At 36.8% G+C, this 27739-nt stretch overlaps 1 protein-coding gene and 1 long non-coding RNA gene across 3 annotated transcripts; both read left to right on the plus strand.

Annotated features, from left to right (window-relative positions):
• Positions 1-10599: 10599 nt before the first annotated feature.
• Positions 10600-11118, plus strand: LOC124907920 (uncharacterized). Its single transcript, XM_047446761.1, has one exon. The coding sequence runs from the start codon at positions 10696-10698 to the stop codon at positions 11101-11103; it is 408 nt and encodes a 135-aa protein (XP_047302717.1). The 5' UTR covers positions 10600-10695; the 3' UTR covers positions 11104-11118.
• Positions 11119-12664: 1546 nt separating this feature from the next.
• On the plus strand, positions 12665-25846 carry LOC107985784 (uncharacterized). Of its 2 annotated transcripts, none has more exons than XR_007087454.1 (2): positions 12665-13009; positions 24680-25846. It is a non-coding gene; the product is annotated as an uncharacterized LOC107985784 (long non-coding RNA). The 2 variants fall into 2 exon arrangements; XR_001739148.2 differs by lacking the exon at positions 24680-25846 and adding an exon at positions 24071-24503.
• Positions 25847-27739: the final 1893 nt, after the last annotated feature.

Genomic DNA, 27739 nt, shown 5'->3' on the forward strand with positions numbered 1-27739 from the left:
AGCCAAGTTTATTTCCAGCTACAATGAAAGTGTACTTAAATACTTCCTATATATACTTTATATATTTTTTTAAAAAGCTTGAGTTTTAAAGTTTATTCATGAAAGATTTGTTCCATTTTTTTGTGAAAGTTTAAATGGTACTTACTGCATTATTTAATAATGAAACATTTTCAGAATAGTCTAAAGAGCTTAAACCTTTTTTCTATTTTGAAGTCATCTAAAACATTTTCTAAGAATTTATCTTATAAATAAAAGTTAGAATTCATTTACTTCAGACCAAGCTTTTCCAACCTGAGGCCCGTGTGCCACATACCACCCAGAATGACTTTGAATGTGGCCCAACACAAATTTGTAAACTTAATTAAAACATGAGATATTTTTTTTTTGCAATTTTTTTTTTAATCTCAGCTATCGCTAGTGTTAGTATATTTTATGTGTGGCCCAAGACAGTTCTTCCAGTGTGGCCCAGGGAAGTCAAAAGATTGGACACCCTTGCTTTCGACCTTAAGTTTGGGGGCTTTTTTTTTTATCCTGTATATAAAGTAGGGCCATATAAACAAAAGGATGCTGAAAGACTTTAGGTGTGTTTAAAACAGTATTATCTTACAGCAAATAATGTGATCTCAAAAGTCAAGGTGTTTTTTAGTAAGTGTATAGATATAAAGCAAAATGGTTCAATGTGGAGGTAATTTTTTATACCTGCAAGTCTTTAATTACTGGGTGGCCTTCCTCTACCTTGCCCTGAAATTTCTTCCATTATTAAGACAATACGTGCACAGAGAATGCAAAAGTATTTTAATCTGAGACAATCAAAGTACAAAAATAAATCTGCTTCTAAAATTATAGTACATTTCAGAGGTTTAAAGAAATAATTTTTGTATTCTCAGTATAGTTACTCAGTATTGGTACAGTTAATCTGAAATTGGCTCTACTTTTCCAAACCCATTTATATATAAATAACCATTACAGCCTATAGTGATCCCATGTTTGCCAGAATCTTTCTAAATTTAAAATACAGTCATGTGTCACGTAACGAAGTTTCAGTTGCCTCTGAACTACATATACAAAGGGGTCCCATAAGATTATAGTACCTGTATTTTTACCTTACCTTTTCTATGTTTAGATGCACAAATACCATTGTGTCATAATTGCCTGCAGTATTCAGTACAGTAACATGCTGTACAGGTTTGCAGCCTAGGAAAATAGGTTATTTCATATATTTCATATAGTGGTAGATGGTAGGCTTTACCATCTAGGTTTATGTAACTATGATGTTCACACAACTGAAATCACCTAACAATGTGTTTCTCAGAACATATCCCTTAGTTAAGCGGTGCATGACTGAAGTTACATTGTGAATTTTACCTTATTTTTGCACAGATGGTATATCAGATGCTGTAAGCCCATCATACTGATATAAATGGACTGATATAAATTGTATAATGGTACAATATATTTCTAATGTGTATTATTCAGCGCTGACCGTTAAGTGATTCAGAATGTGATAGCAGTGAGATTACAGGATCAGATCATTGAGAAAGCATTGCATCTATCAGGTTTTAACACATAAAGTGGACAAAGGGAACTTACGGCAGACGTTCATACAGATAATTAGTAGAATTATTATATGAGTTCTCTTCTTGTTCTGGGTAGTTAACTTTGTATAAAGAACTTTCAGAATCACAGAAGAGATTTCTACCTAAGTATAAGACTGTGATGCTGATACATATATATATCCACATACAATATTATGTTAATGCTTCTAGGTACTTAGCACACCATTCATATCATATGAACTCAGGTATATGTTGTAATAAATTCGTTTCAAGGCATACCAGATGAGAGGATAAACTCCCAAAATCTTGTGTTTTGGGTTTTTGTCTCTATTTTTAAGCATATATCTTACTGATGATAGGTGTTCTCTGAGAATAAAGATAACACTTTACTTTTCAATTAGTAGAAATTACGAGAAGCTGAACTCTAACTAGAATCTGACAACATCTGCAAAATTTTATAGTACTTTAGAAACAAACCCAAATGAAATAATAGTACAAAATGTATTTTCACATTTTCTCCTTTTAATGTTGTATTTTTTGATTGTTACTCTTTGTTAATGTCGAAAGAAAAGGAGATTCGTTTTCATTAATTTCATTAATATTGTGTGCTTTGCCACATGTACAGCACTTGTATTGGGCACTATAGATTGCATGAACTATATGACAGTTTAAGACATGGTCTCAGCCTGATTTGAGTATACATGTTAGAATGAGAAAATCACAACTATATAAGGCAGAACTAGTAAGTTCCTGACCATTAACAAAGATGCCTTTTCAATTAGACTTTCCAGTATTTTACATTCAGTTTCATTGAGTGAGTTTTTTTTTTAATAAAGATTTTCTTTGTGAAGATAATATGATGGACATTTTTCAGACAAAGGTGGTTATTTTGTACTCAGTCCCCAGAGGCATACATTTCTGTTACAGCTGATCTGGTTTTCAAACAGATACATGTAAAATTAACTAGTCCTTATGGGACTTAAGCATCAGGACTTAGTTTCCTGATTCCTATGTAGTTAGCCTTATATTATAAACCAAAAGACAATGAAATACTAACTACTTTTTTTTGCCAATTAATCTCTAGGGTGTTTTCAAAGGACCGTATATCAGCTTCATTCCAAATGTGTTTCATTTCACCTGTGACTCCTTTAAACTATATTTTTATCTAAGTCTTAGGAAACTGTATATTTCAGTGACAAAGATCATCAATATGACTTAAGAATTTTTTTATGTTACCATATTTAACTGATGATTACGTATTTTGAATTACCTTGTTTTTACAGCATGTATGGAAATATATCAAAGAATTTATAATTAAAAGTATTTAAAACCTCTCAAGTTAGAAGTATAGTATATAATATAGTAATTATATGGATCACTTCATGATTGTGCATTATTGTATATATTGGACATATTTCACTTAAAAGAGAAATGTAATGCATGAGAAGTAGAATCCAATGTGTTAGGAATCTTCATTCCTGAATTTTTACACGGTGCTGAATAGGTACTGAAAGTAAAAATTTTAGTAACTAAATCTGCCAGGTGCAATCACATGTGCTTGTAGTTCCAGGTATTCTGGATTCAAAGGCGGGAGGATCACTTGGTCCCAGGAGTTTGAGCCTGCAGTGCACTGTGATTGCATCTGTGACCAGCCACTGCACTCCAACCTGGGCACATAGTTGAGACCTTATCTCTTTAAAAAAAAGCAGGGAAGGGGATGATTAAATCTTCTTTGATAAATTGATTTTGAGAATATTTCATTGAAAAACTAGATAATTTGTGGAGATACATTGTCAGTTGTATACAGACTAATTAACTACATTGGTGATTCACTCCATGGACCATTTTCTTCAGATATGTTTGGAATTATTATCTATTCCTACACTTATTGCACTAATGACTCACCTTAGAAGGAAAAGAAAAATTTTAATTTACTTAAAAAAAATTTTTTTTGATTGAATAGATAATTGTGTATATTTGTGGTTAATTATTATTTTACACTCCAGACCTATTTCTACACCTGTAGGGAAGAAACTTAATCACTGATATCGTCAGCCTGTCAGATACCACTGATATCTTCAGTCTAGTTTTAAGAAAAACTAGGACTAAGAAGAAGTATATAATCAAGTTCAAGCTAATCATGGCCATTTTTAAATTACTTGGTCTTTTTTAATACTTTTTCCCAGAGCAACCTTCTAAATGGAAGGGCAAAGCCTCAACTATCTAAAATGCAGCTTTTAAGGACTCTTAGATGTATGATATGCCTTATGTACAGGAGATTCCATCTATACCTTGACACCCACACCACTCCCACCCCTGTTCTCTCTTCCAAGAAGGTTTTTGGCAGCAAATAGTTCTCTTTAATTATTATATTTAAATATTTGTATATATTTAATTCACATTAGGGATAACAACTAAGAATTATTTAATTGGCAGGTTTATTAGGTAGTTGTTGATTGATGACATGTATAACAATCCAAATGGTATGATAGGTGAAGCCAATGCAGTGGCACATGCCTGTAATCCCAGCACTTTGGGATTGCTTGAGCCCAAGAGTTCGAGGTTGCAGTGAGCCATGATTGCATCACTGCACTCCAGCCTGGGTGACAGTGTGAGACTCCATCTCAAAAAAAAAGAAAAAAAAAAAATTTGGCCGGGCGCCCTGGCTCACGCCTGTAATCCCAGCACTTTGGGAGGCCGAGGCGGGTGGATCATGAGGTCAGGAGATCGAGACCATCCTGGCTAACAAGGTGAAACCCCGTCTCTACTAAAAATACAAAAAATTAGCCGGGCGCGGTGGCGGGCGCCTGTAGTCCCAGCTACTCGGGAGGCTGAGGCAGGAGAATGGCGTGAACCCAGGAAGTGGAGCTTGCAGTGAGCCGAGATTGCGCCACTGCAGTCCGCAGTCCGGCCTGGGCGACAGAGCGAGACTCCGTCTCAAAAAAAAAAAAAAAAAAAAAAAATTTGTATAAAGGGTGAAGGTTTACCCTTTATTAAAAAAACGAAAGCAGAATCAATATTAGAAGAGACAGAAGTATTAACACATATGAGTTGTCTATAAGAAGATGAGAAAAAGTGAACTACCACCTCATAATGTTTAAAAGGCTGTGGGGGGATTCACAGTAACATAGTTCTATAGCATGCTAATGATTATATACCTCTGTGTTCATATACAGCATGCTACTGTACAAAAATAATACTATCTAAAAATACAGGAATGCAAGGAACAAGTGAATATCATTTAAAGAATCAGTTCTCTTGATAATCCATTTGCACAAAATCAAAGGTTTCTTCTGGGCAAGTACATAAATGTACTTTTCACTCTTTACATGTGAGTGTCATGTGCATGTAAAAGAAAGGGAGAATCTCAAAGACTTCTATAGCTAGAGATAACAAAATATTCTTGATATTGAATAATCATGTTGAATGCCTTTTAAATCACTCTGAATGCATTAATGTAAAATATAACACTTTTAAAAGGTAGCACAGTTCCCTTCCACACAGAGTTAGCTGACCTCCCTATTTCAAAATTGCGGAATATGACTCACCAGAGAGGCATTTGGCAATTAATTTCAATCAACTATCGCTAATAAGGGATAAACTACAATAAAATCCTAAAAATTAAGAGCCAAATATTCCTTGTTCAGATGTCATCCCCCCCCCCAGTTTGATTATGTAATCTGTACAATTATACGAAGAAATACAAGATTAAATAAGGTGAACTTCTGTTGAAGAGAGAATACCAGATAGTGTACTTCTTTTGCTGATTTTTTAGAAATACTGAGTTTGAATTTTCAAAGGAAAGAATTTTAGCATAGGATAGCCATACCAAAGTGCTTTGTCATTTCAGCAAGCACCCTGAAATTTTTCATGTTAAACTAGAAGTGCTATGAAAGTACAGTGTAGAATATAATTTTTATTACATTTAGAAAAGTATACTTATTAAGTCATTTTTAATCTTTTTACTGAATAGTTAAATGTTCCAAAAATGATTTTCAGAGCATTACTGGACATTTTAATTAAAAAGAATTAGTATGAGGAGGTAGAGACAATGGCAACTATCTACTGCTACTCCCTGCCCCCAGCAAAAAAAGTGCCATTCAGGGAGTAAGAAACAGCAAAAGTAGAATTTAAGTTTTCCTGAATGGATTTAACCTGTTAGCATTTAAAAATAGTATTTTGTGGTCAGTCATCTTAAGCTTGTCTCTATTTTATCTATATTTACATAGTTTTTATTAGAAATAACACCCATTAAAATTTAACAGAAACTTTGTATGCTGCCTAGAACGCTAACTAGTTTATTGGAAGTCAAATAAAAATATAATTTTTTTAAGGTTTCAATAAGATTCTTAAATGTATAATGTAATGTATTACTGCTCATTCTTAAACAGAATTGCCTACTGCTAACAGTTTTGAAAAGATTGTCCATCTTTTTCATCTCTTCCCTTTGATAGTTGAAGATCAGAAGACCAAACATAAAATTCACTGCCAGAACTTGTCCAGAGGCAAACAGTAAAAGCATAGGAAAAATATTAAAGTGAGCCAATAGGATTTCAGAGGCCTAGATAACAAACTTAAGGGCGGCTAACAGGTTTATACTTGCACCTACATTTTTATATCTGGCTTAATTGCATAAGTAAATGAGCATCAACATACTTGACTGTAGAAATGAGAATGAGCCCTCTATGAGAAACAGAACAATATTTTGGATTTGTTTTGCAATGGTTTTTACATGGAAATTTTGGCCACAGTTTTAAGTGAAATATATTTTTCTTTTTCAAAATGGGAGCTTATATAGTGACTTATTAACATCTAAAAGTGTAAAACCAAATTTCAAAGAGGTAAATTGAGAGATATGTTTGATTAATTCCTCTGGTGAAACAAAATAGCTTTTCATAGATCTTTACTAAACTTTTTAAACAGCTTTAAGGTATATTTGACACAATAAACTATACATATTCAAAGTGTACAATTTGGTGTTTGACAAATATATTTATTGTGAAATCGTAACAAGATATAATCTACATATTCATCCCTCCCAAAAGATGCTCCTTTGTAATCCTTTCCTCCCCAAACACCAACCACCCACCAACTCCAGACAAGCACTGGTCACCATAGATTAGTTTATAGTTTTTTAATGATTTTATATAAATGGAATCATATAATATGTACTTTTCATTTTACTTCTACTCAGCATAATTATTTGGAGATGTATCTATGTTATTGCAGATATCAGTACATTCCTGTAAATTGCTTAGTAGTAGTATTTTGTATGGATCTGACACTGTCCATTCACTTGTTGATGGACTTGTGTTGTTTCCAATTTGGAGCTACTACAAATAAAGTTAATATGAATATTCACATACAAATCTTTGTATGAACATATGGTTTCATTTCTTTTGGGTAAATTACAGGAGTGGAATGTCTGATTCATATGTTTTAAGTTTTTAAGAAATTTCTAGTGTTCTACAAAGTGGTTGTGCTATTTTATATTCCCAGTGGCAGTTTGTAAGAGTTCCAGGCTGGGTGCAGTGGCTCACGCCTGTAATCTCAGCACTTTGGGAGGCCAAGGTGAGTGGATCACATGAAGCCAGGAGTTCGAGACCCGCCTGGCCAACATGGCAAAACCCCATCTCTACCAAAAATACAAAAAATTAGCCAAGTGTGGTGGTGCACCTGTAATCCCAGCTACTCCGGGTGGGGCTGAGGCACAGCAATTGAATTAGGAGGTGGAGATTGCAGTGAGACAAGATTGCACCACTGCACTCCAGCCTGAGCAACAGAGTGAGACCCTGTGTCAAAAAAAGTTCCAATTGTTCCACACCCTCAGTGGATGTGGTCAGTTTTAATTTAGATCTGTAATCCATTGGGGTTAAATTTTGTATGTAATCAAAGTTTGGATCAAAGTTCACTTTTTTCCTTGTGGTAAAAATCCAATTGTTCTAGAACCATTTGTTGAAAGGACTATCCTACATTATCTTTGCACCTTTGTCAAAAACCAACTGATTATCAGTCAATGGTGCTTTGTTTTTTTAATTCTGTTTTGATTCATTTTTCTATTTGTCCATCTTTACACTAACACCATACTGTCTTAATGGCTACAACCTTATAATAATTAAGTCTTGAAATCTGACAGAATGAGTCCTCAACTTTCTTAATCTTTTTCAGAGTGACTTTGGCTATTCTGGATTCTTTGCATTTCAGTGTACATTTTAGAATCAGCTATTGATTTCTACCAAAAGAAACTGCAGGAATTTTTATTGAGTTTGCATTAAATCTGTAGATCAGATTTATGGAGTTGACATCTGATGTAGTTTGGCTGTGTTGCCACCCAAAATCTCATCTTGAATTGTAATCTCCATAATCCCCACGTGTCAAGGGAGAGAACAGATGGAGGTAATTGAATAATGGGGCAGTTTCCTCCATGCTGTTCTTGTGATAGTGAGTGAGTTCTCGTGAGCTCTGGTGGTTTTATAAGGGGCCCTTCCCTCATCACTGGGCACTTCTCCTTCCTGCCGCCCTGTGAAGAAGGTTTCCCCTTTGCCGTCTGCCAGAATTGTAAGTTTCCTAAGGCCCCCAAGCCTTGCTGAACTGTGAGTCAATTAAATCTCTCCTTTATAAATTACCCAGTCTGAGGCAGTTCTTTATAGCAGTATGAAAACGGACTAATACAATGTCTCAATGTTAATATTGAGCCTTCTGACCCATATGTATATTCATGTATTTAGGTCTTTTAAAATCACTTCAGCAATAAATGGTTTTTTAAATTTCAGTTCACAATTGTTTGTTGTTAGTATATAGAAATACAGCTGACTTTTGCATTTTAATTTTATCATGCTACCTTGCTAAACTCACTTATTCTAGTAGCTTTTTTGTTGATTTCACAACATTGTCTTCTACATAGACAAACTCCTCTGTAAATGAAGATGATTTTCTTTCTTTCCAATCTGAATACATTTTATTTCTTTGTCTTATGTTATTGCATGAGTCAGCGAACTTATAGACAGTTTTATTCTTTATGCACTGTCTATACCTGCTTTCATGCTACAATGGCAGAGTTGTGTAGTTGCCACAGAGACTGACAGAAAAAGTTGGTCAAATTCTGCCGTACTGTGCTGGTGATGAGAGCAAACATTCTTGCCTTGTTTGTGATCTTAAGTGGAAAGCATTCAGTCTTGCATGATTAAGTAATGACGTTAGCTGTATATCATAAATGCACTGAGGAAGTTTTTTTTCTGTTCCTAGTTTACTGAGACTTAGTGGGGGGTTGCTTTGTATTTTGTTTTAATCAAGAATGGATTTTGGATTTTGTCAAATCTTTTTCTCAATCTACTGAGATGATCAAATGGCTTTTTTAAAAACTTATTAATATGGTGAAAACAGCCTGAATTCCTAGGATAAACCCCACTTGATCCTGATACATTTTCTTTTTATATATTGTTGGATTTGATTTGATAAAACTTAGCGTACTTGTTTCTATGTTCATAATTGATGAATTAATCTGTAGTTTTTGTATCAGGATAATGCTGTTGAAACCAGCTCAATAGTCCCATAGACAGTTATTTTTGATTAAACATAGAAATTGACCCTTCTGCTGTTAAAGCTTGAAATTTATATAGGTTGGTGCAAAAGTAATTGTCAACTTTCGATCAACCCAAAGAACCAGCTTATGGTTTCACTGATTTTTCTCTATAAATTTGCTGTTTCACTGATTTCCCCTCTGATCTTTATTTCTTTTCTTCTGCTTACATGGGGTTTAATTTGCTTTTGTTCCTTAACCTAGCAGTTGAGGTTATTGATTGGATCCTTTTTCTAAAATAGGCATTGAGTACTACAGAACCCCCAGCTAATTCCTCACAGCTAGATCCTCATGTTTACCCAGGTAGCTTATGTTTTTAATCAACATTACTCTACTTTTGACAGAAATAGCTTTGCTAATATTGAGAAACTTAAGGTTTAAGACAACCTGAAAAGAATAATCTGATTTTTCTAATAAGATTCTTTTTTAATGGCCAACATGAATGATACTTTAAGCATTTGAGTAGAAATTCTTTATATATGAATGGAGTATGAAATATTAAAATCTCACTAAAATAACAGATGTAATATAAACGTCAAGAACTGTAGGAGAAATTAATAAAGAGGTCTATTGAATTGCATAAAGAGTGTTTTTGTTGTAATACATGTTTCCTTTGACTTCACTGTTTAAAGTGATTCCCCTAAATATGTTGCTTTTATGTTGAAGCCACAGTAACTACTAACAAATCATTTAAAACCCTATAGAACTTTATAGGAGCTGAAATATTCAGTGGATGACCTCAGAAAAGATACAGATATATCATTATGTCTCATTTTTATTTTCAGGTGTTCAGATTAAAACTATTGCTTTAAATTGGATATTAGAGCTCAAGAAATATTGAGACACGTTTGACCACTTTTGTTTCCTTGGTTCATTTACTTGTCCACATACTGAAGACTACTGTAAAAACAGGGAAAACATTTTTAAATGACAACTTGTTCAAAATCTAAACTTTAAAAACTAAGCTCTAGAAATTCAAGGAAAATAATAAGATGACATTTTGTTTTGCCTCAAGCCCTGAACACATCATTGGTATAATCATTTAGCTAATGTCAAACAACATAGTGTCTGGCAAGATTTTAGCTAGAGTCAACTATCAACTCTCCACAGCTTATCACTGAAATAACAAGCTTCGTGTGACCATATTAAAAATTATCAGTTTTACATTTGAAAGGCCCAGTGCCAACCTGGAAAAAATTGCTTGCATTGATGAGTAATAAATTCTACATTTTGCATATTCTCACAACTGCATGAATTCATTTCACAATGTTGGCAAATAATCTGAATTCTTGGTGGCACGGGTCCTCCGTATGCTGAGCGCCGGTCCCCTGGGCCCACTTTTCTTTCTCTATACTTTGTGTCTCTTTCTTTTCTCAGTCTCTCGTCCCACCCGACTGGAAACACCCACAGGTGTGGAGGGGCAGGCCACCCCTTCATCTGGTGCCCAACGTGGGTGCTTTTCTCTAGGTTGAAGGTATGCTCGAGCATGATCATTGAGGACAAGTCGACGAGATTCCCGAGTACGTCTACAGTCAGCCTTGTGACATTTGAAGTTCTACAATGAACCCGTCGGAGATGCAAAGAAAAGCACCTCCACGGAGACAGAGACACCGCAGTCGAGCACCATCGGCTCACAAGATGAACAGAATGGTGATGTCAGAAGAACAGATGAAGTTGCCATCCACCAAGAAGGCGGAGCCGCCGACATGGGCACAATTAAAGAAGCTGACACAGTTAGCTAAAAAAAAGCCTAGAGAACACAAAGGTGACACAAACTCCAGAGAACATGCTGCTTGCAGCTTTGAAGACTGTATCAACAGTGTCTGCAGGTGTACCCAGCAGCTCCGAAGAGAGCGACCATCGAGAACGAGCCATGATGACAACGGTGGTTTTGTCGAAAAGAAGGGGGAAATGTGGGGAAAAGAAAGAGATATCAGACTGTTACTGTGTCTATGTAGAAAGAAGTAAACATAAGAGACTCCATTTTGTTCTGTACCAAGTAAAATTTTGTCTTGAGATGCTGTTAATCTGTAACCCTACCCCCAACCCTGTGCTCGCAGAAACATGTGCTGTGTCAAGATTTAATGGATTTAGGGCTGTGCAGGATGTGCTTTGTTAAACAAATGCTTGAAGGCAGTATGCTCGTTAAAAGTCATCACCACTCCCTAATCTCAAGTACCCAGGGACACAAAACACAGTGGAAGGCCGAAGGGACCTCTGCCTAGGAAAGCCAGGTATTGTCCAAGGTTTCTCTCCATGTGATAGTCTGAAATATGGCCTCCTGGGAAGGAAAAGACCTGACCGTCCCCAAGCCCAACACCCGTAAAGGGTCTGTGCTGAGGAGGATTAGTAAAAGAGGAAGACATCTGTCTCCTGCTCATCCCCTGGGCAATGGAATGTCTCAGTGTAAAACCCGATTGTATGTTCCATCTACTGAGATAGGAGAAAACCGCCTTAGGGCTGGAGGTGAGACATGCTGGCAGCAATATTGCTCTTTAATGCACCGAGATGTTTATGTATGTGCGTATCAAAGCACAGCACCTTTTTCTTAACCTTGTTTATGACACAGAGACATTTGTTCACTTGTTTTCCTGCTGACCCTGTCCCCACTATTACCCTACTGTCCTGCCACATCCCCCTCTCCGAGATGGTCGAGATAATGATCAATAAATACTGAGGGAACTCAGAGACCGGTGCCGGTGCGGGTCCTCCCTATGCTGAGCACCGGTCCCCTGGGCCCACTTTTCTTTCTCTATTAAAAAAAAGAATCTGATTTCTTAACTGTAGTATACATACATATTTCTCTTCCAAGCAGGTATTAAAAACACATTGTCTGCTTCTCAGAGAGTTATAGTTGAGTTACTGCACTATGTCTTTTTGACAGTAGTTTTAAGGTTTGGAACGTATTGGAGTTGCTTGAAAAGATTCATTATACTGCTTTATTAATGTAACCCCAGTGGGCTGAACCATTTGTATTCAGATACATGGGGAAATATGTAGTCTACTTTAAAACTGTTTTTCCACTGAAAAAAAAGAATTTTGTTAAATGAGGGGAAAAAAATAGGTAAATAATTGCAAAGTCAGTGTTTTCTGTTGGACTGTAGTAAATTATGGATGTTACTGGTACTTACTGAAGCATCAAAGTTATTTTAAAAAGAGAGACAAGCACAGAAGGCATGCCAGTACTCCTACTGCTTAATTTCAACTTCCCGGACAGTTAAGTGAAGTTTTGTTTTGGATGTGCTTCCATATGGCTTTGTTTTCTGAGCAAAAGTATATGAATTTGCCTTATACAATTTTAATTTTTTTTTCTTTAGATGGAGTCTTGCTCTGTCACCCAGGCTGGAGTGCAGTGGCGGAGTCTTCGGCTCACTGCAACCTCTGCCTCCTGGGTTCAAGCGATTCTCGTTCCTCAGCCTTCCAAGTAGCTGGGACTACAGGCATGCGGCCCCACTTGACTAATTTTTGCATTTTTAGTAAAGATGGGGTTTCGCCACGTTGGCCAGGCTAGTTTCGAACTCCTGGCCTCAAGTGCTCTGCCTGCCTCAGCTTCCCAAAGTGCTGGCATGAGCCACCGAGCCTGGCCTGAATTTTTTAAATGCACTTTTTTCTCATTCACAGCAGCCATTAAATTCAAAATACTTTTATAGATCAATTCCATATAGTAATTTTAAGGTGTACTTTGCCTTTCCTGGGTGAGAGTTACATCTCTATATAAATGAAACAGTAAGTCATGGGCTTTCTCGTGTGAACACTAAGTGACTTGGCAATGTACCGTGTTGTTGTGAGTACATTGATAATACCGAGATAAATTCTGTTTTTCAGTCTTCATGTCATCACTGATGAGGGAGAACCCTCAGCTTGACAGTCTAAGGTAAGTTATGTGGGAAACGATAATATTATTACAGATGTGCTAATGTACAGGAAAGTGACAGAAAATGTAGACACTTGAGTGGCCCACATCAATTACTGCTGTATTTACCTTCTTGTATCAATCCATCTAGTCTTGAACTAAGAATACATTTATAACATGACCCTCAGGAGTTCACATTCACAAGAAAAATGGTGATGAAAATGTCATGAAATGATAAGCAGGAAGCACACTGTGAAGTTGCCCTTTGGTATCCCGGCCAGCTCCTTTCAAACACAGCATTCCATGTGGGCCGTTGGTAATTTTCACTGGGCTCAAGATGATTAAGTAATTATAGAACTGTCTTTAACCTCATTTGGTATTTACACTTTGAGGGTTTTTCTAAAGAAGTGTTCCTTTCCCATCTTTGATTATTCTCTATCCCTTGGCAATCTCATTCACTTTCATGATTTAAATAATTGCTTCCATATGAACAACTGTATCTTCAGCCTCACATGTCCAGTAAGCTACTTACTGCACAGCTCAACGTGAATATCCTGCCAGTTCTTCACATTCCATACTAAAGTTGTTGTTTTCTTTCCTAAATCTTTTCCTCCTTTTTCTTTCTTTTTTTCCCCCTGTTATTAAGATTTTATTATCCAGCCAAGTGGACTAAAAAATATCTATTGGTTATTTTGCCAAACCAAGATTTCTCCTACATTCATCCTCTTTTCTATTCACATGGCCACTATCCTGTATTACTCAGGCTCTCATCTCCTTTCATAATTAGTCACATGTAATTTATCTTCCAAACTGAAACATTTTTTGAGTGTGGAAGGGACACTATGGAGAGTGAAGAAAACTCTTTTAGTACTTACATTAGACAACTGGTATACATTGGAACTGTCCTCTGCAAACTTGGGCATATGTTCACTGTACTTGTAATTAATTTAACCTGTTTCCTTTCCTTCCCTTCCTGTAACCGATCCATCCAAAGCATTGCTGGATTTATCTTCTTAAGCATAGTTTTAATCATGAGGTCTCCCACTTCATAATTCTTTAATGGCTCTAAATTGCCTACCAAATACAATCTAAATATTTAGGCCTAATCTTCAAACTCTCCTCTGGTGGCCCCAGCTTCCCTCTCCTACTTTCTTATTTCTTTAGTCAAGTAACTCACAATGTAATGCTTAACTTTTTTGATCCTGAGTTACCTCATTAGTAAGGTAGGGATTAAAATGTCTCTTCCTCAGTTGTGAAGCTGTAATGGGGTATTATATGTAAAGAAAGTAGGCTGGTATATAAGTACTTAGCAGCAAGTACTTAGTACATAGGCACTGAGGTATTAGTAGCTATTATCACATACACTGTAGGGTTGTTTGTTTTGCTTTGTTTTGTTTTCTGAGACAGACTCATTCCGTCACCCATGCTGGAGTGCAGTGGCACAATCACAGCTCAGTGCAACCCCCAACTCCCGGATTCAAGCAATTCTTGTGCCTCAGCCTCCCAAGTAGCTGGGATTACAGGCACTTGCCACCACAGCCAGCTAATATTTGTATTTTTAGTAGAGATATGGTTTTCGCTGTGTTGGTCAGGCTGGTCTCAAACTCCTGGCCTCAAGTCATCCGCCCTCCTCGGCCTCCCAAAGTGCTGAGATTACAGGCATGAACCACCACGCCAAGCCCATACACTGTAGTTTTCTATGTCTATGTGTTCCTACTTTATGAAATATTCTCTCTCACATCCCTTTTGACAGTGTTCACATTCCTAAATCCTTCCTATCCTTGAATGTTTTGAAGATGTATTCCCATGAAGACTTTGATTCCCCAAAACGGGATTCAAAATTCACATGGCAATTAAGAATCTGTTTCTACCTTGTTTATGTGTGTATCTTGGCTCTTGTAATAAGAATGTTGTTTCCTCAAGGGCAGGCATTCTGTCATTCTTTGATGGTGCCCTCTCCCTTAGTGCTGTACATTTAAGCAAAGAATATTCGTTAACTTAATTTTTTAATTAATATTTTTAATATTTGTTAAAATTTTTTCATCAAAGGGACCATTCCTTTGGAAATATTAAGACTCTGAGACTTACAGTACTGCCTTTGCCAAATATAGTACATCCATACAGTAAAATACTACACAGCCGTTTACAAGAATGAGAAAAGATTTTTCCATGTACTGACATGGAAAGATGACCATGATGTTCTGTTGAGCGTTTCTTTTTTTTTTTTTTTTTTTTGGAGACGAAGTCTCGCTCTGTCGCCCAGGGTGGAGTGCAGTGGCACGATCTCGGCTCACTGCAACCTCCGCCTCCGGGTTCAAGCAATTCTCCTGCCTCAGCCTCCTGAGTAACTGGGACTACAGGTGCACGTCACCACACTCAGCTAATTTTTTTGTATTTTGGTAGAGAGGGTTTCACCGTGTTGCCCAGGCTGTTCTCAAACTCCTGAACTCAGGCAATCCGCCCGCCTCAGCCTCCCAAAGTGCTAGGATTACAGGTGTGAGCCACTGTGTCTGGCCTTTTTTTTTTTTTTAAGACAAGTATGGCTGTGTGTGGTAGCTCACACCCATAATCCCAGCACTTCGGGAGGCCACGGCAAGAGGATCACTTGAGGCCAGAAGTTTGAGACCAGCCTGGGTAACGTAGTGAGACCTTGTCTCTACAAAAAAAAAAAAAAAAAAAAAAAAAAGCCAGATGTGGTGTTTCATGCCTGTGGTCCCAGCTACTTGGGAGGCTGAGGCAGGAGAGTCACTTGAGTCCAGGAATTTAAGGTTACAGTGTGTTGATTGCATCTCTGCACTCCAGCCTTGGCAACAGAGTAATATCCCAGCACTTTGGAGGCTGAAGCAGGAGGTTCACTAGAGCTTAGGAGGTCAAGACCTGCCTGGGCAACATAGTGAGTTCATCCCTACAAAAAATAAACAAAATAAGCCAGCTTATTTTGGTCCCAGCTACTCAGGAAGCTGAGGTTGGAGGATCGTTTAGCCTGGGAGGTTCAAGCTACACTGAGCCAAGAATGTGCCACTGCATTCAAGCCAGGTGAGTGTATAGTGTGTATGTGTGTCTGGTATGTTCTTTTTTTCTGAAGATCTAGAAGTTACAGGCCTGTTAACAGTAGTCGTCTTTGGTGTTTATAGGGCAGAAGAGGTCTAACTATAGAGAATTTGATTGTCATGTTTTTGTTGTTGTTTTCAGGTTTTTCTATTGTAAAAGACATCTAACAAATTTACCACCTTAACCATTTCTAAATGTACTGTTCAGTAGTGTTAAGTATATTCACGTTGTTGTGCAACAGATCTCTAAAACTTTTTCGTCTTACAAAATTGAAACTCCAAACTCATAAAACCCTAATTTTTCTCCTCCCCGCAATCCCTTAGCAACTACGTTTCTACTTTTCATTTCTATGATTTTGACTACATTAGATATTTCACATAAGTGGAGTAATACAGTATTTGTCCTTTTGTGACTGGCTTGTTTTGCCAGTATAATGTCCTTGAGATTCATCCACGTTGTTCTATGTGACAGTATTTCCTTCTTTTTTAAGGCTGCATAGTATTTCATTGCTTGTATATACCATGTTTTCTCTATCCACTCATCTCTCCAACATTTGGATTGCTTCCACCTCTTGGCTATTGTGAATAATGCTGCAGTGAACATGGGTGTGCAAATTTCTCTTCCAGAGCCTGCTTTGAATTCTTTTTGATATATACCCACAAGTGGATTTGCTGGATCACATTCTATTTTTCATTTTTTGAGGATTCTATTTTTAATTTTTTATTGTTTTTTATAATGGCTGTACCACTTTACGCTCCCTACAACAGTGCACAAGGGCTCCAATTTCTCCACATCCTCCCCAACACTTGTTATTTTCTGTTGATAGTGACCATCCTAAGGGGTGTGAGGTTATATCTCAGTGTGGTTTTGATTTGCATTTCTCTCAATTAGTGATGTCAAGCATATTTTCATATGCTTGTTGGTCATTTATATATCTTTAGAGAATTGCCTATTCAAGTCTTTTGCCCATGTTTTAATTGAGTTATTTGGTTTTTGTTGTTGAGTTGTAAACATTCCTTTTATTTTCTGTATATCAGCCCATTATCCAATATATGATTTGCAATATTTTCTCCCATTCCATAGCTTGCCTTTTTGCTCTCAGTTATTTCCTTTGATGCACAATTTTTTTACATTTGATATAGACACATTTGTCTGTTTTTGGTTTTTTTATGTATGCTTTGGATGTCATATCCAAGAAATCTTTGCCAAATCCAGTGTCCTGAAGCTTCTCACCTATGTTTTCTTCTAGGAGTTGTATAGTTTTAGGTCTTATGTAGGTCTTTAATCGCTTTTGAATTAATTTTTGCATATAGTGTAAGGTAAGGGTCCAACTTCATTCTTTGCATATGGTTATCCAGTCCTCCCAACACCATTTGTTGAAGAGACTGTCCTTTCCCCATTATGTAGTCTTGGCACCGTTGTCAAAAATCATTTGGCCATATACACAAGGGTTTATTTCTGGGCTATTATGTTCCATTGGTCTATATATCTGTTTATGCCAGTACCACATCATCTTGATTACTGTTGCTTTGAAGTAGGTTTTAAAATCTGGAAGTGGGATCCTCCAAATTTGTTCTTTTTCAAGATTATTTTGGCTATTTGGGGTCCCTTGAGATTCCATATGAATTTTAAGATTTTTTTTTTCTGTTTCTTCAAAAATATTCCTTTGGGATTTTTTTGGTTTTTAGTGGCAGGATTTCACTCTGTTCCCCAGGCTGGCCTCGAACTCGGGCTTGAGTGATCCTCCCACTTCAGCCTTCCAAGAATTTAGGACTAAGGCAAATGCTACAACACCCAACTTGCCACTGGGATTATGATAAATACTGCATTGAATCTGTAAATGGCTTTGGATAGTATGGACATTTTAACAAAATTAAAGTTTTTCAATCCACGTGCATGGATGTCTCTCCATTTATTTGTATCTTTTTGCTTTCTTTTAGCTATATTTTATAACTTTGAGTGTTCAAGTCTTTCACCTCCTTGGTTAAGTTTATTCCTTAGTATTCTATACTTTTTGATGATACAGCAAATGGGATTTGTTTTTAAATTTCCTCTTTGGACTGGTTATTATTAGAGTATAGAATTGCAGCTGGCAGGCCGGGCATGGTGGCTCATGCCTGTAATCCCAGCACTTTGGGAGGCCGAGGCGGGCGAATCACCTGAGATGGGGAGTTCGAGACCAACCTGACCAACATGGAGAAACCCCATCTCTACTAAAAACACAAAATTAGCTGGGCGTGGTGGCGCATGCCTGTAATCCCAGCTACTCGGGAGGCTGAGGCAGGAGAATCACTTGAACCTGGGAGGCAGAGGTTGCGATGAGCCGAGATCATGCCATTGCACTCCAGCCTGGGCAAAAAGAGCGAAACTTTGTCTCAAAAAATAAAAAAAAAAAAGGAAGAAAGAAAGAAAGAAATGTAGCTGGCTTTTATATGTTGATTTTATATCCTGCAAATTTGCTGAAATTATTAACAGGTCTTTCTGGTGGTGTCTTTATGGTTTTCTAAATACAAGAGCATGTCATCTGTGAATAGAAATAATTTTACTTCTTCCTTTCCAATATGGATGCCTTTTATTTCTTTTTCTTGTCTAACTGCTGTGGCTATAATTTTCAGTACTGTGTTTCACCTATTCCTATTTTGTTGACTATTTTTATCATTAAAGGGTATTGAATTTGATCAAAATTTTTCTCTTTGCTTGAGCCCAGGAGTTTGAGGTTACAGCGAGCTGACAGCGTCACTGCACCCCAGCCTGAGTGACAAAGTGATACCCTATCTCAAAAAAAAAAATTTTAAGGCTTCTGCATCAATCAAGATGATCATGTGGTTTTTATCCTTCATTCTGTTAACGTGTGGTGTATTACACTGATTGATTTTCATATGTTGAATTGTTGAATTAACTTTCTGTTTTACACATGCCTATTTGGTTCATACCATTTTTATAAGGAGTATGTATTCTAAAATACAAAATTATATTTGTGTAATATTTGCATATATATGCGAAAAGATGAATATGTTTACTGCCTAAAAATGTATTAAAAGCTTAAAATGTTTTGTTATATAAAATTTGAAAAATATAGAGTATAAAAAAGAAAAGTCACCAAATCCCACAACTCATAAACACTCAGTTAATATTTTTTCTCCATTGTGATTGGGAATTTTTTTGTTCTACATTATAGCATTACTTTCCTATCTTAAAAACTGTATTGACATCATTTTAATAAGTTGAATGGCAGAAACATTCATGGGACTATGCCTAAATTTCTAAAATATTTATATAGCATGAATATAAGGAATATATATTTAAATTTGCATTTTATTGTAAATATAATTATACAAATGAGATATTATAATTAATTACTGGATATTTAAAGTACTTTGAGGGCTTTTTTAAATTTGGATTTTGTTAATTATTAAGTTTAGATTTGATTTTCCTTTACTTGGAGCTCAAACCCAATGGAATTGAGGAAAAATAACAGTCATATAAGGAGCAGTAGTAGTGATGACGTGGAGGAGGAGGAAGAAGAGAGGAGGAGAGCAATTTATGTCTATTGAGCACTTACTGTGTCCCAGGCATCATGCTAAATTCTTTACGTGATAATCTCATGTATTCCTCACAATAACCCTATGATCTGAGTACTGTTATGCCCATTTTACATAAAAGGTAAATGAGGCCCAGAAAAGTTAAGAAGATTACCCAAGGTGCAGAGCCAGTAAGCATCAGAAGCAGAATTCCAATCCTGATTTGTCTTAAGAGCTTTGCTAAGGGCATTATTTATGAGTAGCTCTTTATCCCTAACCTAAGCTTGAATACAGTGAGGCTAGTATAATTACCAATATAAAAATCAACATTACGGTGATTTAGTTAGAAGAATATTTGAGTCTATTCAGCAACTCATTTTTGGGCAATGGATCTGCAAGATGAATTAATTGGACCAAGGCATAACAGATCCATTCAAAATGAATACCAAACTCTGTGACAAAAAGGATTGTGCAATGACACCAGTGAACTTCTAAAGCAGGCCGCTTAGCCATTAAATGAATTTGTTACATTCCTATATGTACTCATTCCTTCTTTCTCAGTGTGACATCCTTACAGCAGTTCTAATAACTAGAACTTTTTAATTAGAATGATCAAAGTGCCCCATCAATAATGTACTGCCATTATACATAACGTTAATGGTGTGAAGCTAGCGTGCTTGCTTCACATGGAGAACTTGTTGCTACAGAGAGTAATTTACTTGAAATAATTTTAGGAGCAGAGATCAGTATGGAAACTGGCCATTTGAGTGCTGTGTCTACTTAGCAATGACTCTAGTTTGTTTTTGTTGTTGTTGTTGTTGTTTTCAAACATGGAAGGAAAAAGTAGTCAAATCTCTACAGTTTTGTTCCTTTGTTAAGATCTCAACTTATTTCTTTCATTTATTCAACAAACTCTTGTGCAGCTATTATATGCCAAGCACTGTGCTGGGTACTGGGGATAACGGGGGGAAAAAAATCCTGTCTCCAGGAAGCCCTGGCCTAATGAGGAAGACAGAAAACCAAATGGTTTTAATACTGTGCGATAGAGATATGCATGTGTGCTATGAGAGCATGTGAGAGGAGCATCTAAGCAAAGCAGGAGCAAGATGGAATAACACTAACTAAAACTTGAAGTGCAAGTTAAAATTGCCCAAATGAGTAAGTGAAGGTTGGTGTTTGAGCAGCATTAGCAGAGGTACAGGAGTGTGAGCTCAGCTATGTAAAGGCCCTGAAACTAGTTCAGTATAGTTGGAACATGAAGCTAAGAAGGAGTGGTAAGAGATTTCTGATTTAGTAGTTGTAAACATTCTAGACCTAAGGAAACAATAATTAAGAGTTTCAAAACTCCAAGCTTTCACAGTCAAATAATTATTGCTAAAATTAAAGGAATGTTTTTGGCTTGGCATTCTTCCAAAATGATCAAATTATTAGATGCTGCTAAGGCTTTTAAAGATAAATAAATGTCATACAGTTTTCCTTTAGATAAAGCTAGAGAGTAAGATAAGAGGTTCTGAGGTGGATTGTGCAGGGGAATGAAGACTATAGTAGAGCTCATTCCTGAGCTATTTCAAGAAATAGCTCACACAACAAAGCTAGTCAGCTCCTGCTTCTTAAAATATGATAGTGGCTAAGAAGCCCCTGCCATTACTGAGTCCTCAATGTTGCCAGAAATGGTGATCTTTAGCAATCAATTTCATCAAACCCAAGCAATAACTGAGTTAATTTTATTGACTATTATGCCATCAAAAAGGCCCAGATTTTTAACCCCAAAATGATGTTCTCCTTGCTTATATATCCCACCTTCCCTAGCTTCCTCTGAATCTGAATGAATTGCTCATCAATAACTTTCAAATATAATAGTTATTAATAATGTCTTGGTCTAATATGCTTATAATTTGATAGGCATTAGCCAAACATAGAACAAAAGTTAGATTTAACTACATTGACCAAATTATCTTATATTTATTGACTTAGATAACCCAGAGGAAAGAATTAAACAATACTGTCTAATTTACATGATAAATGAAAAATTTAAAACAACAGAGTAAGCTATACATGTCCAGTATTAACGTAGAAAATGGTGTGTGTGTGTGTGTGTGTGTGTGTGTGTGTGTGTGTGTGTGTGTGTGTGAGAGAGAGAGAGAGAGAGAGAGACAGAGAGAGAGAGAGAGGCTGTCTTGCTGTCACCAAGGCCGGAGTGGCATGATTACAGTTCACTGCAGCCTCAACCCTCAACCTCCTGGGCTCAGGTGATCCTCCCACCTTAGCCTCCTAAGTAGCTGGGACTTACAGGCTTGTGCCACCACACCTGGCTAATTTTTGTATTTTTTTGTAGAAACAGCATTTCACCATGTTGTCCAGGTTGGTCTTGATCTCCTGGGTTCAAGTGATCTGCCACCTCGGCCTCCCAAAGTGCTGGGATTACAGGTGTGAGCCACCACACCTGGCCTAGAAAATTTACTATTTAATCATTTCATATATTCAACATGAAAATGAAAAAACATATTTCCAGTGTTTACCTCAATTCCAAATTAATTTCTATCAACTGTCTAGGTCTTTCAACCATTACCTTAGGCTTTTCTTTCTGAAGAATAGCAAAATAATATTGGAGCTTAATATTTCCCACTCGAGTGGAAGATGTTCCCATAAATATGTTTTGGGGTTACATGTTTGAAAATGTATCGCAACATATTGTATGTAAGGAGAGAGAAACATTTTTTCTTGCTCTTTATACTCTTCCATGGATGCTGCCCAACTTATGCACAGACCACAAACTGACAAAAGTAGTATGCCCCATAACTGTTAAAGAATAAAATTATGTAGTAGTCATAATTCCTTGCTTATTAGAGTCCCTGAAAATTGCCTCACATTCACAACAAGCATAGATGCCCCACCCAAACTCCAGAAACCATACAAGCAAGGCAAGGCTGCCAGAACTGATAAGGGTTTCTTGAACCTGGACCCTCAAAAGCCCAAAGTGGATTGGAGAGTATAAAAGTGCAGGCAGAAGGGCCCTTTTGGCCTCAGAAGTAAGAATTCATAGCCAGTGTGTCATCTTCCTTCTCCTGCAAGAGTACTGTAGTCTTGTTTTCCAAGTCTTTTTCCCATCTACGTACAGACACTGCTGTATGTGTGTATTGAAAGGTGTGGTTGATTTGGAATTGAATAAACCTTTTCTTGGAAACTCCTAACTGTATGATACAACACCATGAACAACTTCCTTATTATATGAAAGGGTAGCACAGTAACACACTAATGGCCCCAAATGGAGAGTAATTATTATTGCAAATTCTTGAGAGAACAGAAACAAAAGGCAAAAGATATATATAGATTACAACATGTTCTTGACACAGCACAAAAATTGAATGGAGGTGAGGACAGTTTCAGCAACAAATGACTTAAACATTGAATCTAAAAGGAAAACATGGCTATCAAACTTAAAGTAACTAGAATGTCAACAATAAACCTTACAGATCACCTGTCCCAATAAAAAAACAGAATGTTGACTTTTTAAACACACATGTATCCAGAAGAATTATTGGGAAATTATTGTATCCATTTCTAAGTATCTCTAAGTACTGGAAATATGTATTTTGATATAGATTCAAAAAATAATTAATGTGTAAGACAAACTATTTTAGAAGATATTTAAAGGATTATATTTAGGTTGGTTAGGCAAAGAACTGAAAAAGAACACCCTGCCCTTATTTCAATTCTATTTGCTCTGTGAAGGAGTGGAGCTGGCCAACTTAAGTTACTTCTTTGTGCCCAGGATATAACTCATCCCAAGTAGCTTTTGAATTGCCTGGGAGCTCACAAAAGGAGAGGGGTCCCTGAAGGATTTCTAGGACTATGAAATAGTTTGAGTACACCATGCTCTCTTTGTACATAGTATCCAGCTGAGTTCAAAGTACAAATAGGCACTTAGTAAACAATGTTGACTTGAATGAATTAACTAGATTTTTTTTCCTGTAGCTTAAGGTTAATCTCTCCAGAGACAATATCACATTGTTTTTCTTGAAATATTTCTAATATGATACAGTTTAAGCCAAAATCTGAATCATAATACAGTGAATAATCATAGTTTCTTAGACATACACTATTTCAAAATTCTTTGCCCACTGAAAAGTAAGTTCAGGGAGACCCTTAAACCTCCCCTTACCCTAGATACTAAATTTCACTGCTTCTGGCAAGAACAGATGAGTTAATGCATTCTATTTATAGTTGATTCATATACTTCTCCATCATAGAATGGATTCCAGGAAAGAGGTGGGATATTGTAACTGTGTGCAGTAACATTTCATAGTTCTTTAATACATTCTAAGTGCTGATGAAAAATTTCTTCCCTTCCTCATATTTTTATGAAAGCCTAAGTTGCAAGATTTTAAGCTGGATGGTAAGAACACAGCTACATATTATCACCCTTGACATTTGCAGACTGAAAAGAACTCTTTTTTCGTCTTGGTTTCTTTCACTCACTGACTCAATAAACAATACTTATTTATTGTAGGAAAATTTAAAGACCAAACCCAGGATGGTAAAATGGCAAGAGGATGGGTTTTGGAGTAACACAACCCTAGTCACAAATCCTGACTCTTCCCCCTTAATAGCTGGATGACCGTAACCTTCTGACCATCCTCATCTGTAAAATGAGGAGAAAAAGACTCGCCCTGGGGATGCTGAGTTTTGAAGAAGAAAATGTATTTGAAGCACTTAGCACAAAGCCTGATTGTTCATAACTTTCTGCACCCTTTTCTTTATCTCCTTCCCTTCTCTTCTTTCACTTCTTTTGATGTTGTACAATATAATCATGTTTCCAGAAGAAAAGATTAAGCCATGAATTTCTCTATCCTCTATTTACACAAATTACATGTTTCTTTCTAATATGAATCATTATACAATTCTACCACATTAAAATAACAATAAATTATGATTAAAATATACTACTAATAATGATATTTTTCATGTATATGACCTCCCAAGTTTGAAGAACTTGCTGAATATTATAATAAACTCTAAAGGGCATGATTGCCTCCTGTAACTGAATCTATCAATAGGCAAGTCTTGATCTATGCTCAGAAGATCTCATTAAGAACCTGATTTTGTAGTTTTTGCTTAGTGCACAGGCTGGGTTGTCCCCTCGTGGCCCTTATGATGCAGGAGAGAGAGGAAAATTCTTCGAGAGAGACACTGGAGAAAGCAAGAGAGGATGAGCAGATATTTGGGCAGATTATCTTGTGGGAAGAACAATCAAATGCAAAGGTAATGGAGGAAGGAGTATACTTGATATGATATATTACACACTAATATAATATTTTTGCCATTAAAAGTGATGGCAAGAAGAGCAATTACTTTTGCACCAACCTAATATAACACACTAGTGGCAAATACACTAGCAAGAAGGCTAGTGTGACAGAAGCAGAGTGATCACACAGAGTGGCAGGACATGAGATCAGAGAAAGATCAAAAGGCCAGTTAACATAGGGCCCTATAGGGCATTGCATGGATATTGGCTATGGCCCTGAGTAAGATTTGAGGATTTTGGAAAAGGAGTCACATGATTTCACATTTTATAAGAATTACTCTGGGTACCATGTTAAACTGGACCACAGAAAAACAAGAGAAAGCAGGGAGACTTGTTAGTACATTTGCAATAAAACAGGTGGAAAATAGTTATACCTTGGATAAGGATGTAGTAATGAAGTTATTGGGAAGAATTTGAATTCCGTGTATATTTTGAAAGTAGAACCACTAGGATTTTCTCATAGACTAGATGTGGAATATGATGGGAAGCAATAATAAGGTATGTGAGAAAAGTCTGCAGGAGGGGGAGTTTAAGGGAGAACAATTGGAAGCTTGATTTTGTACTTGTGACACTTGCGGTGCCTATTAGACAGCTTACAAGTTTATAGCTGATTATATAAAGTACTTACTCTGTTCCAGGCAGTTTTAAGTGCCTAATCAACATTAATTCATTTAATCTTCACTACAACCCAGTAAATGAGGTATTTGGAATTTATGTGTCCTCAGTTCTTAATAGGATTTAAAACCACGAGACTGAATGAGATCACCAAGAAAGTAAGTGTAGATGGAGAAAAGAAGACCAAGGACTGAGGTAGAAGCACTCTGATACTTAGCATTTAGGGACATCACGGGACACCAACAAAGGAAATTGAGAAAGAGTGGCCCATAATGGAGGAGGTAAATGAGTGTCCCAGGAATCAAGTGAAGTTAAGTGGATCAGGAAAGATGAAGCATCATGGTGTCAAAGCTACTGACATTTCAAGTAAAATGAGGACTGAGAATTGCCCACATTTCAGTGGAATCGTGAGGGCAAAAGCCTGGTGGGAACAGACTCAAGAGGGAATGGGAAGAGAGGAAATAAAGACAACTAGTTAGCATAGGCAACTCTTGAATTTTTCTGTAAGATGGAGCAGAAAAATGAGATGGTGACTGGAAGGGATGTGAGGTCCAGGAAGGCTCTTTGTTTTGTTTTGTTTGTTTCTGGTTTTGTTTTATTTTTAACAGACCTTATTTTTCAGATCAGTTCTAGATTTACAGCAAAATTAAGTGGAAGCTACAGAGATTTCTCATATACCTCCCTGCTAAGCCCACATATGTGCAGCCTTCTCCACTATCAAAACCCTGCACCAGAGTGGTACATATGTTACAATCCATGAAGCTATATCGACATATTATCACCCCAAAGTCCATAGGTTACATTAGGGTCCACACTTGGTGTATATTCTATGGGTTTGAACAAATGTATAATTACATGGGGTTTTGGGGGGGTTGTCTGTTTTTGAAACGGTATTTTTCTTTCACCCACCCTGCAGTGCAGTGGCACAATCGTGGCTCACTGCCGCTTTGAACTCTTGAGCTCAAGAGATCCACCTCAGCCTCCCGAGTAACTGGGACTACAGGCACATGCCACCATGCCCAGATAACTTTTTTTTTCCATTTTTTGTAGAGATGGGGTCGTGTCACCATGTTGCTGAAGCTGGTCTTGAACTCCTGGCCTCAAGGGATCCTCCCACCTTGACCTCTCAAAGTACAGGCATAAGCCACCATGCCCAGCCAAGTGTATAATGACATGTATCCATCATTATTGTATCACACAGAGTAGTTTTACTTCCCTAAAAATCCTCTGCGCTTCTCCTATTTATCCGTCTTTCTCACCTAACTCCTGGCAACCACTGATCCTTTTATTGTTTTCATAGTTTTGCCTTTCCCAGAATGTCATATACTTGGAATCATAAAGTACGTAACCTTTTTAGATTGACTTCTTTCACTTAGTAATACACATTTAAGTTTCCTTCATGTCATTTTATAACTTGATAGCTCATTTCTTTTTGGCATTGAATAATATTCCATTGTCTGGATGCACCACAGGTTATTCATCCATTCACCTACTGAGGGACATTGTGGTTCCAATGTCAAAATTCCAAGTTTTGGGAATTAAGAATGACGCTACTATAAACATCCATGTGCAAGTTTCTGTGTGCACATAAGTTTCTGTTTTTGTTTTTTTTTTTTTTTTTTTTTGAGACGGAGTCTCACTCTGTCACCCAGGCTGGAAGGCAGTGGCGACATCTCGGCTCACTGCAAGCTCCGCCTCCCAGGTTCACGCCATTCTCCTGCCTCAGCCTCCCACATAAGTTTTTAACTCATTTGGGTAAATACAAAGGAACACAATTGCTGGATCATATGATATGTTTAGTTTTATAAGAAATTGCCAAGCTGTCTTCAAAGTGGATGTACCATTTTTCATTCTCACCAGCAGCGAATGGGAGTTCCTGTTGCTCCACATTCTTGTGGCTTCTCTTCTCATTCTCTTGACAGTGTATTTCATAAAGCAGAAGATTTTTGTGCCGTCCAGCTTACCATTCTCTTTTCATGGATTGTACCTTTAGTGTTGCATCTAAAAAGTTATTACCATACCCAAGGTAATCTAGGTTTTCTCTTACATTATCATCTAAGACTTTTATAGTTTCACATTTTATGTTTGGCATATGATCTACTTTGATCTAACTTTTGTGAAGGGTTAAAGGTCAGTGTGTGTATATATATATATATATACACATATATATGTATATATTTGCATGTGGCTCTCCAGATATTTTATTTATGTATTAAATAAAATAAATTTATTGAACCATTTATTGCACCATTTATTGAA

This window comes from Homo sapiens, chromosome 2 (assembly GCF_000001405.40).
Source record: "Homo sapiens chromosome 2, GRCh38.p14 Primary Assembly".
NCBI classification, from domain to species: Eukaryota; Metazoa; Chordata; class Mammalia; order Primates; family Hominidae; genus Homo; species Homo sapiens.